Raw genomic sequence first — 18,429 nt, forward strand, 5'->3', positions numbered from 1 at the left:
ATTTTGATTCTTTAAAATCTACTCTTCAGCAGTTTCTGTGAACCAATATGGAGATAGGCAGACGATCTACAACTCTATCTGAGTATGTACCTTTCTATAGACACTTTCCGTAAACGGAGGATTAACATCAGAGCAGGGTTGGAAAATTATGTCAACTCTATCTGGTGAACTCCTTCTGGGATTACCTCACTCTCTTCTGCCAATTTTTATTTCTTATTACTTATGATTATACCATGAATCTAATTATTTAATTTGTCAATTTGACACAATTTGTTCTTAAATAAAATAAATAATACATAAGCGCAGCTGACTTTGAAATACTTACTTTCTAAAGGCAATGCATGAAACAGTATCAGAACTGGTTTTGAAAATGAAGTTTTAGAATAGTTTTCTCAGCCAACCAAATAAGGTCAATCTTCCATGAATCACATCAGTATACAAACAGAAATTAAAACTTTAACAAATTCCTTCTTTAGTTACTGATTCCAACAATCTTCCTACTCCAAAATTTATGGGTGCTGTCAATAACAGTTAAATTGACTAACCAAAATTTTTTGCTATTTTTTTTCCCTACAACAGGGGAAAAAAATGAACAGTGAAATGGCTTAGAATTAGCAGTAGAGGAAAGAGTTAAAATAAGAAAAACCTACAATGTGAAAACCAATGCTTTATCCTCAGGTAGCTGAAAAATCTTCACTAAAGCTGTGATTTCACTTTTCAGGTCCTAAAATCTAAATGTCACATTCCACCCCCTCCCCCACCAAAAACAGTATAAATTGTAGAAAACATTTTATAGCATTTAAAAATTCCAATGATCAGTAAGCATATACTATAGTCCCAACTTAATTTGACGTTCCATTTACATAAGAAATAAAGGAGGAGGACAGGGAAAGAAGAATGGCATAGCCAAAACAACTAAATTTTTAACATATATTTTCTGTAAAGCTAGTTAAAAACAAACACTATAGCTCATGTAATTTTTAGGTGTAAGTGTAGGGTTGGAAATAATTAAAATGTTACCTTTGCCAAGTAATTCCCAATGTATCCTCACTGGTACTGGGGTATAAATGCCTGCCGTTTTGATTCATGGTCCAGTCACAAATCCTCAGCTGTCAATTGAAACCTAGCAGTCAGATATGGATCGAGCAGTACTACAGTTTTTAGTATTTAAATGAACACATGCAAACTAGTACTGTACATGGCATTAACCTTACTTTCCCAAGAGGCAACTTAAAGAAAAAAAAAAAGCAAAAAAAAATCTTATTCTTGAAAAGCAAAATTCCTAGACTCTTTTTTAGAAAAAGCTATTGCAATATGCTTCTCTATTAATTAAAGCATACAAGAGAAACAAGTGCTTAGAACATAACAATTAGCCATTATTAGAGCACAAATTGAGCTGGAATGAAAGCAAACGTTAATGTTCAATAGAGAGATATATTTTAGAAAGAAAATAAAAATGCTTTTTTTCTATGCATCACACCAAATAATCTGCACTGAATAAAATAATCAATAACTTTAAGCATGCAGTTTGCAAAACACAGAAGACATGCAGTTTAGAGGAGAAAAGGCCCACCTTACAAACATTCGCCCTAACTTGTGTTTAGAAGCATCAAGGTCTTCAGTTTTAACCTTTTACTAATTTTGTTTTGCTTAAACTGGCATTGTTTAGAAAGAGTTGATAAGCATTTCTAGTTTTATTTTAAACTCAGAGTAATGGCATTTAAAATACTTTACTACATCTGAAGAAAGTGAGGAATGCACTGAATACAAGCTGAAACAAATTCTTCCCAGATCTCCGAATCATCAGCTCTGCCCTTCAGAGATTGTTCGAGTAACCCTATCCAGCTCTGCTTGGTTAACAGCTGCCCTACAGTGCTAGCAGATTTATTGAAAAGATATATTGCTTATTTTTATTCTTAAGAAAGTAAACTTATCTGGGTTGGGGGGGGGGAAACACAGTAGAAAATCATCGTTTTTAACCTTCAGATGGCCACACTGTAAATTAACAGCATCTTACATTGAAAAGATGACTTCTTCACAGTAATCCACTAAACCTTGTTTGCTGCTTTTCAGTGAGAATTTCCAGATGATGACTGGAACCAAAGTACCATAAATTATCATAAACTTAAAATTTATGATAAACTATTTTAAACATTTCTGATAATGTTGTGGCCAAAGAAATAGGCTATTAAGAATCTTTACTTTCCCTTTTAGACTATCGAGCTTCTGCACACACTAAGTAATAGTGATTCAGGAGTTTTAGAAAGATAGTTTTTGCTCATTTTTCTATCGATCTATGAGGCTCTAAAAATACTAGCTAAAATTTCCAAACCACGTGTTTTAGTTATTTGCATATTTCAGGATTTCAAGTAAAAGTGATTTTATGATTTAAAGAACTGAAAAAAATTCCCTGCATATACATAGATAGATCAACAGATTGATAGACATGTAGATTCTGCTCAGGATATATGTCATAAAGAAGTCATAAATCAGTAAATAAATTAGAAAGAAAAATAAATATTCTTTTTTTTTTTTTGAGACAGTCTCACTTCATCACCCAGGCTGGAATGTAGTGGCACCATCTCAGTTCACTGCAACCTTCACCTCCCAAGTTCAAGCAATTCTCCTGCCTCAGCTTCCCAAGTAGCTGGGATTACAGGAGTGTGCCACCATGCCTAGTTAATTTTTGTTAGTAGAGATGGGGTTTTGCCATGTTGGCCAGGCTGGTCTCGAACTCCTGACCTTGAGTGATCCGCCCACCTCAGCCTCCTAAAGTGCTGGGATTACAGGTGTGAGCCACGGGTGCCTGGTCATAAATACTCTTAAAATGGACCAAAATACTCACATGAAGGAAAAAAAAGTACACTTTGCTTTGTTTTAAATCAGATGACATACTTTCAATATTTCAAAGAAGTAAATGTGTTCAGTCTAGCGGGAAGCAATATGGCAAGATTTCTTAAAAGTTCTCAAAATGGGTCGTCTAATCAAATTTAGTGTGATGGGGCAAATTGTCTTCTGTTTTTTTTTTACAGTTTTTTTTACTGTAAAAGTTTTAAAAGTACAATGAAAACAATCAAAAAACAGTTCAAGAAACTTGGCTTTGTATAACAAGAATGTTAATGATTTATCACTTACTGATTCTACTCTAGTCAATGAAAATGGAAGGGTTTTGTTTAATTTTTATTTGTTTGTTTTTTGAGACAGGCTTTCCCTCTGTGGCCCATGCTGGAGTTCACTGGTACGATCATGGTTCACTGCAGCCTCAACCTCCAGAAATCAAGTGATCCTCCCACCTCACTCTCCTGAGTAGCTGGAATTACAGGTTCGTGCCACCATGCCTGGCTAATTAAAAAAAAAAAAAAATTGTAGCGATAAGATCTTGCTATGTTGCCCAGGCTGGTGAAAATGCTAGTTTTGAATCAAACATTTGGAAGAGGGGAGATGTATATTTAGGCATAGTACATATTAATTATGTTAATTATTAACTTCAGATTAGTATCTATGGGGCTCTCAGCTTAGGTTGGAGAAGTTTTCAGAAAAATAATATGCTTTCACAAAGCCAGGGGAATCTAAATACCACTCACTGATTGCTTATTGTCCCACAGACAACTGTAGGACCACATCTCCTCAGAAGGATGTGTTGTAAATGAGTTAGTTTTTTTGTTGTTAATGTTGCTAATATTTTGTCTGTTTGTTTGTTTTACGACCCCCAAAAATGTCAAATGGGCTATCTTTGACCATATGCTGCACACATAAAAATGAACGTATTTTTGGACTTTTCTTTTCTAAAAGTAGTCCCAAAGTGGATAAACCTGACTACAGCTATTCATTATCATCTATTTAAGATATATGCAATAGAAATATTTTCTCCCAAACAGAAAAATATGCTTAAGTACATTCAAAATAAACAACAAATATATTTAGCAATAATTTAATGCCAAATAAATTGGCAATATATTAATTAGCATTGAATTTCCTTTTAGTTACTAAAAATGTAAAATATAAGAAACTAATTTATCTGTTTAGATTGTGCACTACCATTACAACATTTCTTGAACTTTCTGAGGAGACACGCTATAACTTAAGCCAGGTTACTTGAGCAAGAGCCTCTCTCTTCATGTTGGTTTTTTTCAATTAATAAACCTTCTTGGTCATAAAGCATCTTGGAACTAACAAAACTCCCTGATAAAGTGAAATTTTAAAGTGATGGTATGGGTGGGGGATGCAATTAAATCATTAAAATAGAAATCACTTATTCACCAAAGATTTCCATGATAGTAATTCCTAAGAAAATCAATTTCTAATCTTATTTGACCAAGATATTCCTGACCAAGCAAATTGTGAACAGACTCTATATATTAAAAGGTTAATACTACATGTATTTAAGCTTCTTTTGGGGTCATGTTACATATTCTTGCCTTTAGCATAATTCAGTTTTCCTAATAAAAAATAATTTTACATTAGGCTTTAAATAAGTTTAACATAATAGGTGATAATCTTTTTTGAGTTTGGGGTGGTGATTCCTTAGTTTCTGTCCTGTGACAGAATCAGTGTTAGGTAATTCAGCTGTAAATTCTCTTTTTTTATTTTAAAACTTTAATTTTAAGTGGCACATAAATACATGCCTTTCATTTATATAGAATTTTTCTAAGTTCAAAGCTTTAAGAATGCTGTAAGAATTTTTCCAAGTATTTTTTATTAAGAAATAGGAAATTGCTTTTTTCTCCCAATAGTAATCAAATTTAAAATACCAAGTGCCACTCAGTTTAGAAATTCAGTCTGTTAGAATTGTCTGTTTTCATGTGGAGGTGGGGAACAATTCTTATTTTTGTAACAATATAGACTCTCAAAAAGAACTGATCATATGCATATCCTTACAAAAATGCACACTCATATAAATCATTTTAATCCTTTAATTTATATGCACATACCAATATGAAATTCTATTGTCTAGAAAATGCCCAGAATTTCAAAACCAAATAAAAGGTGAACTAAGAAAGTAAGATTATCTTCCAAAAAAGCTATCAGTAAAGGGGGAAGGTTGGAACAGTTTAAACAAATAAGAAAGATGTGAAGGTGAAGTTTTCACTGCATATGTTCTTAGGGTGGAGTTCTGTGGTCTCTGGAAAGAGAACCTTGTTCCTGGCCCAGTTCAAATCAGATTGCTTCAAAGAAAAAAAGAAAAAGGATAGGGGCCATCTGGTTCCTCTCAAATGGCTACATAAAGGGGAAACACCTAAGATTTGGATCATTATCCTTTCCTAAACTACACTCAAATAATCATGTAAGTAGCAGATAGCCATAAAGAATTAATATTGCTTGTGACTTCAGACTAATAGTTTGTTTATTCAAATGGGGGTCCTCCTTTGTTATTAACAGGGTCTTTTGTTAAATACACAGCAATTAGCTTTGGGAACAAAAGAAAGAAGGTAAGCAAAATGTTCTATTTTGCTAGACTCAGCAAACAGGCTGAGGTACTAACAGTTCCTACGATGACAACAAATCTCAACTGAACCAATAAACCATTAAACTGTGAACAGAACAATCAACACAGGCAAATTTACCTTCTCACTTTTTTTTCTTTTTACGTTTACAATGGCCCTCAGGAGAACATCTTGAAAGGTATGTTTTATGTTTTCTTGTGTTTCTTCATTTCTCCAGACCCTCAATGAAACAGATTTTTAAGGGGTGAAGGCTCTTTTTGCGGTGGAAAACAGATGCTTAAAAGGATTAACACTCCAATATTCATACTTTGGATTAGGAGAATTTTATTTTATTGCTAATATTAATTACCTACATGGAGCAAATTAAATGGTCTCTGGATGAATAGCATGTAACCTCTGAAGGAATGGTATGAACAAGAAAAATGGTCAGAATAAAATTGTGTTGTATGTTTCACATACAACACATGCAAAAAAAAACAAACAAACAAAAAAAAAAGATACTCAAGATCATCCTCATATCTTAAAAGTCACTTCTAGTGCCAATTTCTGAAACCCATGTTTCTTGATATTTAATTTAATTAGCAGAAGTAGAATTAACTTAAATGAGTATGCATAGTCCATGAGCAGAATAAACATTATTAACCATAAATCATAAGATAAGTATTAGAAAATGAAAGATTTTGTTTTTAAATTAGAGGCTACTACAACTTGTAAATTTTAAGGTTTCAAGGGACTTTGGAGCTTATGTAGTTCAACCTCTTCATTTTCCTTTCCAAGGTTTAAGGACTTGTCCAAGGTTAGAAATGCCCTGTCACATCAACACTAAAACCCAAACCTTCTGACTCCTAATCCCTGGTTCTCACCCACTACACCAGTTGCCTGTCATTGTTCCTTTCCTACCCTGTCCCTTATGTGCAGTTCAAGAATATTTAATGCTAAAATATCTGTAAATAAAACCTTCAGAATTCCCTCTACCTCCCTGATTCAACTGAGATCTAAGTTAATATTTTCAGAAAAGAAGATAATTTTTTCCTTGTGTTTCTGTTGATTAAAGTTAACGTTACATAAAATGTAATTTTACTTTTACATTAATTAGAACAGCTTATCTGGATATTAGTCTTTGATTCCCAGTAAAGGTAAGTGAACAAACCAGGGAATGACAAAAGACAGACAATGGAAGGATTTTTTGAATTTAAGAACTAGCCAAAGAGCTAAACATTTGCATAGCCATTATTTCGACTGAAACTTCCTTTAAATGTGTTTCCTTTCAAGCCAGCATACATGAAAAGTGACCTCTTATCCACTTACATACCTACCCAGAAGTCATGTGATAGCGTTTTACGTCAAGCTGTCAATTATGATAACAGACACAATAAGAACAGCCCAAGTGTTGATAGCCTGCTTCCTGACTGTATTGAAAAGTTTGTTCATAGTCCACTTGTGTCCTTTTAATTGCTTGCCTCTAATAAATGACTACCTTTCCAATGGTAGTACCAAGCTTTGGCTTTGCCATTTGCCAGGACAAATATTATAAGAAGATTTAAACTAATATCTTAGTTTAAAAAAATCCTACAGAAGTAATTTCTTAAAAAGGCCATTTTGTGTAACAGAAATTTTCAGTGTAATGAGAAGTACTTTCAAATTCTAGTTTTAAAAACAAAAGTGTTATAAGAAAAGTGTTGAAACAATTTAAATATACACTAGACCAGTAATTGAAATTCAAATAATAGCATTATATAGTCATGCAAGAGATGTAACATGCTGAAGCCCAAGCACCAATAAAATCCATGCAACTGTGAGAAGTAATGCAAAGACCTGAATTGATCAGGCCACTGATTCATTAGCTCTTATTATAGGTAATATATATATAGTCAGGAGATTATAATTTTGAGATTATGAAAATAAGACCGATTTCTTATAAACTAGACTTTACTTGACTTTATTGTCTCACTTAGGGAAGGCAAAAGTGAGCTCCTAATTTATTCAGTTGAAATCTCAAATATACATCAAAGGTTAATATGTACTTCAATGGCTTGTTTGAATGGTGAACTTTTATTTCTAAACAAGAAGCTTCTTAGCTGCAAACTTTTTATTTCCAACTTACAATGAGATTTTTAAATATATGTTGATGTACAATAGTAAGAATTTAGGCTCTTATTATGACCTTAGACTCAAATGTAATGGTGATAATCAAATTAGCCAGATTCTCTTGTATTAATACTACCAAACTTTCTATGATAGCAAAGGAAAGAGGCCTGAAATTAGCAACTCACTATGAGGTAGACCAGATAAGAAACTGGTGCTAATTCAAGTAAGTTGTCTCTTATTATTCATCCATGCTAAAATTGTTAGACTGAATTATAAAATAATTTCTATATTTCCTAAGCAACATCCAACACTCTGATTGATAGTTCCCATTTTCTCAGGGAGATAAAATTTGGGAAACGTGGTTCCTTCATTGCCTATCATAACGAATTTGCACAATGTGTTCGTGAATTATAAAGTATGAGAGAGAAAAGGATATACTGCATTTTACTGAACTTCTATGAAGTTAAGTCGGGGCGGGGGGGTGTTCCACATTTCTGAAAATGTTCCAAACCATAAAAAGACATTTCTCAGCAGAGACTAATCAGTTCAGTTTGCCAAAGCAGGACCCATGAGTTCTTCAAGCCACCAAAACCATCTTCCAATAGAAAAGTTAAAGAAGAATGAAGCTCCAACTGAAGTTCTGATTTTAAGATTTCCCCCATGCCAATAGCGAATGCAATAACTAAACCAATAATCCCAAAGACAGACTAGTTCTAGACTTGAAAAGTATTCAAGATTGTGTTAAGAGATAAAGAAAAAGTCTAAAGTCAAATACTGATCAGCTGGTATGTGCTGACTATTGTGACTGATTAGAGAGGATTATTTTTAATGGCAGATTATCAACTGGTTTACATGAACCTTTTTGAAATAGTCTCCAGGACTATGTGAATTTATTTTTTAGATTCAAATGAGATATATTTTCAGTGATAGGTGAACTTTCTTCCAGTCAGAATAAACTAGTATTCCCAAGCAGTTAGCAACCAATGCCATCAGCAATAATTATTATAAAAAGGAACACAAAGATGTATAATTACTAATAACAATTGTCTGTGTACCAAGTAAATGATATGAAAGTGTATACTTTTAGTATTCAGATTTGACACTATGAATGTATTACTCTTACAGGTGAAGTACAGGGTTCATTTTAACATTAGAAAGCTTTTCATCTTAATTTGATAATGCTAGTAAGCTTATGTATTAGAAAATGACCAGATTGGAAACTCCACTGTAGTATCATCTTGTGGAAAGATTATTTATAAAATAGTCAAAATTACATGACCACTTTAAATTTATCATTAACTCTAATTTATGTAGGCTCTATTAAAGTTCTTTTCTAAGAAAAACAACACTCAAAACTACACATCAGTACTTTTCATAACCTAAAAGGATAAATCTTTATAAAGCAGCCACCATGAACTGAAGAATGTACCTGGTGACGATATTTATTCTTAAAGGATCATGTATATTAAAGGCTATAGGGAATGTTTAAAAGAACCCTCTCAGACTAAAGCACTGCCTTTCTAATTTTGAATTTCTCCTAGCTAATATAACATGATTGATTACCTTTATTTCATGTACCCCTTGATTTTCCTTTTCATTCATCATTGAGTGCTTTAAACCAAATGCATTTAGAAACTGCCTCTAGAAGAATGGTCTCTTTTAAATCTTTGTAAAGTAATGAAAGGACACAGTAAATCAATCTCATTTCTACTGAAGGAAAGAATAATCTTTACTGAAGTCATTTAAACTATTTCTGTTTCTTTATTCCTGGATAGTAAACATAAAACTTCATTTCTATAATTCTTTTAAAATTTGAAAGGCTAAAATGAATAGGCTTTTGACTCTAGCCTTAGTTTACTAATATACATCTATAGCATGATATGCATTTATTTACAGGTATTTTCTGCATGCCTCAAAACTGGAGTTCATTATAAAATAAAGCATATATGGGCTTCTTCAAATTAAAAAGCAGCACTAACTCTTTCATTACATAGAGGACAAATTATCTGTCTGCATGGTATTTAACATTTTCAGCTATAAAGAACTTTTTTTTGCTTCCAAAGATTAATATATATCATGTATCCCATAAGTATTAACTATAGTTGACTGAACAAAACGTATTCACATTGTAAGTGGTCTCGATTCAATGTTGTCCACTTAAATAAGTGGCTGTCTTCTTTGATTTTAAAATAGTTTATAGTTCTAGAACTCATAGTTTTTAAAATATATCATGTGCCAGAATGCTATCTACATTAAAATTCATATTTTCATGATGCTTGCTAAGTTTTCTTGATATATTTTTAGATATGTGAAAGAAGTAATTCTTATGTTAATGGACTTTAGTAATCATAATTACATGAGGCTTCGACATTTATCATAAGGGATAAGAAAATTAAAGCTGCCATAGGTTAGGGTAGTGGAGGAGGAAGGCTGCCTCCAAATACATGGAATTGGTCAGAGTATTCTAACTAGCATTTGGGGCTAAAGGTTTAAATAATGGAGGCATGTTTTATGCATTAAAAATTAACTGGAAATTAGAGATGTGTCATAAAGAATAATGCAAATCCCATGAGAAAAATATTCCTGAGAATATGTGTAATGATTTTTAAAAGAACAAGTTTCTAAACTTATACATCCTGCATATGTTTTTTAAAAAACACAATGGACACATACATCTGTCAAATAGAACCATATTCTAGTAATTATAACTCATTTCGTGTTATAACAATTTTAGAGGTGAAAAAAAAGCAACATTCCAGAGAATTATGTTGAGAAGCCAATGGCTGGCAAAACCACTAATTATTATTATTTGGTATTTTCATAACTGTGTACAGATGTTTTCAGTTAGTTCTCACTCTTTTGGTTTGTTTTGTTTTGCTTTTTTTAAACCTGGCAAAACATCAAGTATTCTGAATAAGCTATCATCTTTATGATTTTCTCTGAGCTCTGCATGTGGTGACCTCTAATATGCAGTCTGCCCCCTTGGGCTGCAACTGGAAAGGACTTGAGAACTCCACACCAAGCACAGTTGAGGTAGGTCACAACAAGGGTATGTGAGGTGAACAGATCAAGAATGAAGTAAGTGGGCAAAAGTATCTTACTACCTACACAAAAAGTCATATATATGCACAGGCAACTTATAAATAAAGAGCGAGTTAGTTAACACCAGCTCTTTATTATTTATTATAGCCTAATTTTCCCCTATGTAATATTTTGCATACTGTTAATTTCAAACTGCTCTGCTATCAAAACTTGAGAGCAGCAAACATATGCATCATAAAATATATTTAAATTCGGAACTGTTTAGAATTACGTCTCTTATCCTGTAACTAGAATCGTGGGATTTCTACATTGGTATGGTCCATGCTTTTGACTGTGGCTGATCTGTTTATAAGCCACCATTAATCCTGGCTGTATGTTTTCACAGTTTGGGTAAACACTTCATTTGCATTAAATTTACAGCATTAATGAGATGTGAAATTTAAAATGCTACTAGAAACATAAATGATGTAAGAAAGCAGAACCAAAAAAAAGTGTTTTATCACATCTGAAATCAGTAAACCAATTTAAAGCTATTAAAATAATAGGAATGAAGTGTCGCCTGAGATTTTAACTTCGTAACTCATCGTCTTGGACTAAAATACAAATGTGAGGAGCAAAACATCTGGAAAATAAGAAATCACTCAAAAACTCGAATTATATACTGCTTCTATTCTAGTTGGCTTTAAAACAGTTTGCAGTTTTTGTCTTTGAAAGCTATAGTCTGTAAGTTCTCAATAGCCAATGAGACTGAGAAAAATACACTTTGGCTGAAACACTATTACTCATGGATGTTATCAATATATGCTACAGAGATGGAAAAGGTCATGAGCCAATTTGAGAAACTCTACTCAAAGAGGTGAGAAACAAAGGATCAATGAGAAAAAATTCTGGGAAATGAAATGATCAGTTTTGGTCTCAGAAGCCCCGGGAGCCCCCTTCTGAGTCCGGATCTGAGAGGCAACATGGAGAAGCACGGAAGCGAAAGCGTGGCTACACCGTCACACCTGGGTGAAACTTGCCCACCTGTTGCTGATGTAGGAAGGATGGGTCTCTTGGGCTTAGTCCCACATATCGATTGGCTTGAGATGTGCCTGAGGCTGTGTAGGCTGATTAAGGAAGAACAAAAACAAAGATAAAAATTGTGAACTATCAGAACGAACACCCTGTCCATGTATAAGAAACCCAGAGAAGTGGGATTTGCAACCAAAAAAAAAAAGTGTCTTCATTTCTCTTCTCTTTTGTCTGAGTGAACACCAAGTGATAGAAAAGAAATAATAATTGACTTCAAATCAACTAGTTTATTCCCCCTAAAAAATCTATCCAGTAAAGCAGATCTCATACTTCAGTGTGGGTGTCTCACACTTACATGCTCTAGTAACTGTCCTGTGGAGGTACTAAGGATTGGATAAATAGAAGGGCCCTGTTCCTAGACGTACTTTTTCACCAGATAGTAGTTGTCTAATATAAAATAATCAATGATGGTATATGATTCTAAATGTAAAGCAGACTGAAAGTCCGCCAGGAAAAAGTGACAGCTTTTAATGATGGAATTTAAGCAGATGTTCTTAATGATATGGGATGGAAAATGTCTTTCTTAAAAGTTTTGCTAAAAAGGAAATCAAATCTTACTATCATGAAGGAGAAGCCTGTATCATGTAGAATGAATCAGCTCGGTATTTTACCTGTGAAAATGGCCTCAAGTCTGATAGGAATGTTTTTGAAAAAAAGTACTTCCCATAAGCACACATACAAAAATCAATTACTTGTAACTGATCCAGGAAGAAAGCTGATGCACCTTTAAATAGTTGGCCACTAGGTAGTAAGTATATATGGTGACTATTCCTTACATTGTTATAGTCTCATTTGCAAGTACTTTTTGTACAACTGCTTTTTGCTTTTTGGTATAGAGTAAATTTTTCACACACACAAAAAAAAAATGAATAGGGAGCTACTCCTAAAGACTTTTGTTACTTTTCACAAGGAAAGGACTGAGGTATCTTCCCAGAACTAGGCAATCCCACTGCTCCATATTACCATATATTACCTTTATTGTTCTGAAGAAAGCTACACTGTTTGGTTTAAAACCACCAGATTAATGAGGAATCCAGGCTTCATTTTAAATGAACTGGCTTTCTAAAACCAATATATTAATTCTGCCTTGTTCACTTAAAGGACTGCAGAATTTGATCCATGGAAGCTTTTTTAGGTCAACTTTTTAAAAACAGTGAAGATGCTCACAATTCATATTTTAATTGCTCCTGAATAAGGGGACATGCAAGGCAGCCATCAGCAACCAGTGACCCCTACTCAATCTCCAAGCCTCTGGAATTCACCACACCTCACAGACAGCCGGAGATGAGCCTCACCCTTACAGAAGAGCACCAAATCTATGCTGCTTTTTCTTTTCAACTATGAGAAAGAGCCTTCCTTGGCTTCTGTGTTTTCTTTGACCATAGTACTATATCAATTCAATGACCAGTTTTTTATTACTGGTGGTGCCTAAGAAGCTGGAGCTACAAGCTTGTTTATAGGAAAGAAAAACTACTCACTATGTTTCTTTTATGTAGGAGTGGAAAATGGACTGATGCAGCCATCTTTATACAACCAAGATACTCCTTTTGAATATTTTGTAATTTTACTAGTCAAATCAGATCCCTTTTTGAACAACCTGTATGTAAGTATAAAAACAATTCATTAACAAACAGGCTGAGGGTACTCCTATAAGTGAACTGTGATCATTTGGGTCTGATCCTCTCCTGAATCTCTTCTATTAATAACACCACAAGAGTAGGCATCAGAGTTTCTAGAACTTGGTTTTGACCATTTATCCTGTGATAATCTTTCAACTACTTAAAAAAAAATCTTTGTTTTCTGTGTGCTTTTATTTAAATTGCTGACATTGTTTGCTCAAAGATGTGAAGACATCCACTTTTAAAATGAGTACTTAGTGTTTTGGTGACTGTAATGCACATAGCAAACCTCTAGAACAAAATAATTTTTAGTTTTTCCTGAGTAGGTCGCATCCATCTGTGCATTCAGGGAAGTATTCTAAGCATTAAGAATTACTGATGGGTATTACAAGCCTATAGGAACTTATTAATTGACGGGGCTCATGAATTTTGAGAAAGAAATGCTGAATTCACTGTACAAAGTATTGTCCATTTTTCTTATAGGGTTCCTTCCTAGTCTTTCAGAAACCATAAAAAAAAAAGAGCATCTTTCCAATGGCTGAGAAAGAATGAGTGGTGCATGCCTCTGATTGTCTCTGATTCACATGGAAATTTCAAGATCATGGGGATTTTCTTGCTCTAAGAAAGAAAAAAAAAAGGTTTGAATTGAAGATATCTGTATAATTGGTGAGGTGCATGCTAATTCCACCAATTCGATAGCTTTATCCATTCTACTTCACCAATTTGTACATTCCAGCTCCAGTACTAAGAAGCTGACAGTTGGGTGAAACCACCTCAAAATTAATTTCTTCTATACTTCTAAGTATTTTACATGAAAAAACAAAGGAATGATGCGGCTTATTGGTACGTGTTAGGAAGGTTCACTGGCTAAATCTCTGACATTTAAATGTTATGGCCACACTAAAAAGCACAGTATTTGATGTACCAATGATAAGCAAAATAATCAAAAGGTTTTAAAAAAAAAGCTTGCAGATAGTGAAAGTACAGGTAGCTTACATGTGCCTAATACTAAGTTTTGAAATGTCCTCATCTGTTCCCAACCTTATGCGACTGTTTTTAACAATGACATAACCTACAATGATGTAAACATGCAATTACCTTACAGAGGCACTGATTCCATCTGCTTTGTGAAGGGGCTTGATTTCTATAGGAATGCTCCAATAAGTACCAATTACCTAATCTCTCTTTGGGTGATACGAAAACTTTGTATTCTGCGTTATGTTACTCAGTGCAATTTCAATGTATACCTTGAACAAGCAGGCATGACTTATTATTTTTGTTATAGCTGTTAACTTAAACAAGTGAGCTTCTCCCTTTTCAAATATGATTCACTGACTGGAATTTGAGAAGAGAGAGCCTGTGATAGCAGGGCCACATCCATGCCTGCTAGCTCCACTTAAATGAGAAATCTCCATCTGGTCAGGTAGCTGGAAAAATTGCCGTGTTTTCCACCTTGGATCAGATATCCAATGGTGCCTCTGATGGACATTTCTCATTTCCTATGGAAATACTTACTGGTTGCTGTAGGTGAAGCTGCCTCACCTTCAGTGGATGTAGTGATGGGTTTAGTATCTGTCATGCTCAGGGTCACAGGTCGCACTGCACTGGGATGGGGAGAGGGTGCCAAGACAGGAGTGAAATGGCCAGGCACTTTCCCTACTACTTGACCACTGCCGTTAGGCTACAAAACAAAAACAGAATGCCGGGTGAAGCAATCCAAAAGGCAGTCATCTTGTTCAACAAGTCCACTCAGCACACACGACTGTGTGGATCCAGCACACTGCGCATAGGCGCCACACAGGCCCTCTCGAGTCGGAGTCGGAGAGGCCAGTCAATGGTTGGTAGTAATAAGGAGCAGCAGCATTTCAAAGAAGGTTTTCATCTTCAAAGCACGTCATGGTATAGGTGAATTCCTCTTTACAGCACCCCTGAGAGCCAGGTAGACTTGATCCTTTCATGTAGTAGGCCAAGAAACTCAAGTGCAGACTTAAATGCTTAGCCCAAAGGCTAAAATGGAATTCCTTACTGAACTAGCTACAGTTGGAACCCAATGCTTCCTTATTCTCTGCTCTTCATTTTCTATAATGAGTCAGTTTTGGCTTTTAGAACACAATTTTCACCTACATGATGATATCACTGAAACAAAGGACACAAAAATATCTAGGAGATCAAATACAACGAATTCTGGAATTTTCATCATTTACAGTCAAGAACCATTCTCCTGCATACAAAACTCTAGCTCTCTTACACACAGGTGTGCTGAGATGCACACATTAGGCAATTTAGATTCCGAGATCTATGGTCAACTTTTGATGATTTACTAATACAAGAAGATAGAATAAGATGTAAAGCATCTAAAATTTCAGAGGTCATACAATGATATAAAATGCTGAGCTACGTTTGTCCTTACACCTACAAATAAAAGATTTCCAAAGTAAATTAAACTGTACTGAGGGGAAGCAGAGGACAAGCAAATGAGCATTGTTATTTGAGTTACTCTTACATCCATGGTGGTGCATGGAGAGTTACACAAAACATTTCTTGTTGACATTTGTGAGAATTAACTGAGAAAATCCCCTGGGCAATGATAGAAAAGATGTTACTATCTGAGTTTTAGCTCCTGGGTACAAAAATAGTTTCCGTGGTAGGAAACAAAATCCTAAGGATACACTCTTTGAAGAAATAGTGGAATATATTTTTCTAGACTGAGAATGTTATTTTTGATTATACCCATGTTGGAATTCTCCACTGCACGGTGTTCATCGCAATTTGCTGGGAGGCTATTCTCGGCAAGTATATAGTCTTTATAATCTGAACTGTTAAAGGCAAAAAAAAAATGAAGCAGAATATTTTTCTAAATATCTGCACATAAATTACAAGTAGACATTTATTTAGAGAAAAAGATGAACAGCTAATAACACTTAAATATTGTGACTTAGAGACATGAACTAAGTCTTCGGTTAGGCTCCTCAGAGGCCACATTATTTATTCTATAAAGAAAATGGACTTCCTGAATATCCTGATTATTCATCATGGGTAATTTTAAGTATTTAACTTGATGTCAGGAAAATTGACCAGAGTTTTCCAATATGGAAACCTATGGGAGAGTTACATCTTTAAACTAATTTTATTCAAAATATTCCATTGAATAGCATGACTGTCTCACTATAATTGGTGCAGCAGTAATGCAATTAATCTCAAAATTGCTGTGGGGAGGAAAAGGCATCTCAGTTGCTTATCTTAAAAATCAAAATCAGTGCAGTGCTGGAGAATATTGGGAAGCAACAGCTGACTAGAAGTGAATGGTGAAGGAATACTGATGTTTTTCCATTTCTAAAGCTAAAATGGTAAATACCAAGAATTCTAATTTGAAATGCAAATTAATTGGTTTTGAGTTGGAGTTAAAAATCAAAGCAGATACACTGTTCCTTAAAAAAAAAATCTGCAGTTAACTATAAAGACCCATTTTTCCTTTCAAAGGGAAAAAGTAGTTTGTTTCTACAGCAGGCCATCCATTTCTGGTTATCTGAACACTGGAAATAAGTGCTTTAAATATCTTAAGAAAGAAGACAGGTCTCATTTTATCATTGGTGGTACATTCAATGGTAAAAATGTTTCTACATACAGTGTTCACCAAAACAGTCTGAAAGTACCTACCTGGAACAAAATGTCTGGAGCAGAATGACAATAATTTCAAGGAAATGCTGCCACCAAATATATTATCCTACCCTGACCATTCTACAAACTTCACCTACTGGAATTGAACAACATGAACTAGTAGACACTTCTCTCATTTGAAAAGAATAAAGGTGACAAAGAAAGAATTCCCAAGTCAATGCAGACAACTTTCCTAAAACTCAGGGTGAGAAGAATTGAGGGCTATTTTCTCCTCAGTTTTCTACTGGTTCAAACAGATGAAGCTACACTAAAAATTTCTATCTTTTAAGGCTGTTAATAGATGAACTTTCATACTGTAGATAGAAAAGAGAGATGTCTTGTCTGAAGGTGAAGCTAACAGCATTAGGAAAGGATTATTCTACTTTATACACGGTTCCTATTATACAAAATCCTGAGAGTTTTTTTGTTGCTAGTTTTTCTTTTTCTTTTTTTTTTTTTTTTGAGATGAGAGTAATATGCTTCCTTAGAAGGTGATATGTATCTTGAAAAAGTGAAGAAAAACTGAGAACAATATAGGCAGATTATCACCTAATATGCCCTCTTAACTTATAAAGAAATTGAAATATACGTAAAACAAGCACTGAATAATTAAAGAAATGTGTAACACTAAGGGCCTGATTTTAATTTGCATAATTTTTCCCCTAACAGTGCCTAATTAAGACATCAGTTAAAAAAAAAATCCAATGGAACTCTAAGATTTTCCACACTGAATTAACGTTAAGGACTTTTAATGGATGTCTTAATTAGACTTTGTTATTCATGGAAATTCTACACAAATTAAAATCAGACCTTGTGTGCACTGTTCCCAGCTGAGTCTAGCAAAATGCTCTATGGAACTGAGACTTCTGAATCCATGAGCTGACAACAAATTTTATTTCTAAACGATATACTAAGATCCCACTCTCACTTAGCTGTCTTTAGTACTTCAGTCATGAAAAGTGCTACAACATTTTAACATTTTCTTCTAAAATACAAATAATAATTTTAACTTCAAATTCAAAATTCAATATTGAGTTTAATATCTCAGTCAGTCAAACTAAAAGTAATGATAACTTTTTAAGTAACCCAAAGGGTCCTGGATGCGTTGTTATTCTAAATTAAAAGTTCAGAAAGGACCATTTTGTTTCATTTTAACAAATTAAGACCAAAGGGATTTTTTTCTCACCTTTCTTTGCTAATTTAAATTGATAGACACACACTATTTACTAGCATTTCAGGAATGTTCCACCGTAGTAATGACGGAATGTTTGTGAAAATTCTCCAAAATATTAAAAGGTATAATAAGTGGACAGGAGTCTTAGAGGTAAAGCAGCAAAGCTAAATATCAGATCCTAATATCAAAATTACATTACATGTTTTAGATATTACAATTATTGATAGCCCCAGGTCTGGCACAAAGACTGTCTACTTGATTGTGGAAAATGCTCATATACCAAATTCCTATGAAGTAACCTCTTGGTAGAAGAAACCATATGTCTAGGGGAGTG

General features: G+C 34.1%; 1 protein-coding gene across 32 annotated transcripts in view; it reads right to left on the reverse strand.

Moving 5' to 3' along the window:
* The window catches only part of NFIB (nuclear factor I B), a 450,235-nt gene that overhangs the window by 19,559 nt on the left and 412,247 nt on the right, over positions 1 to 18,429 (reverse strand). For 7 of the 32 annotated variants that reach the window (NM_001369462.1, NM_001369466.1, NM_001369469.1 and 4 more), the window contains one exon: positions 1,021 to 1,109. The exons of 15 other annotated variants lie outside the window; for them this stretch is intronic. In NM_001369462.1, the coding sequence (NP_001356391.1) occupies positions 1,021 to 1,109 (89 nt within the window). Of the gene's footprint in view, positions 1 to 1,020; positions 1,110 to 11,597; positions 11,681 to 14,779; positions 14,946 to 18,429 lie in introns of all 32 variants that reach the window. 10 more of the 32 variants (NM_001369459.1, NM_001369461.1, NM_001282787.2 and 7 more) reach the window with 5 other exon arrangements.

The sequence above is a fragment of the Homo sapiens genome, chromosome 9 (assembly GCF_000001405.40).
Source record: "Homo sapiens chromosome 9, GRCh38.p14 Primary Assembly".
Lineage (NCBI taxonomy): Eukaryota > Metazoa > Chordata > Mammalia > Primates > Hominidae > Homo > Homo sapiens.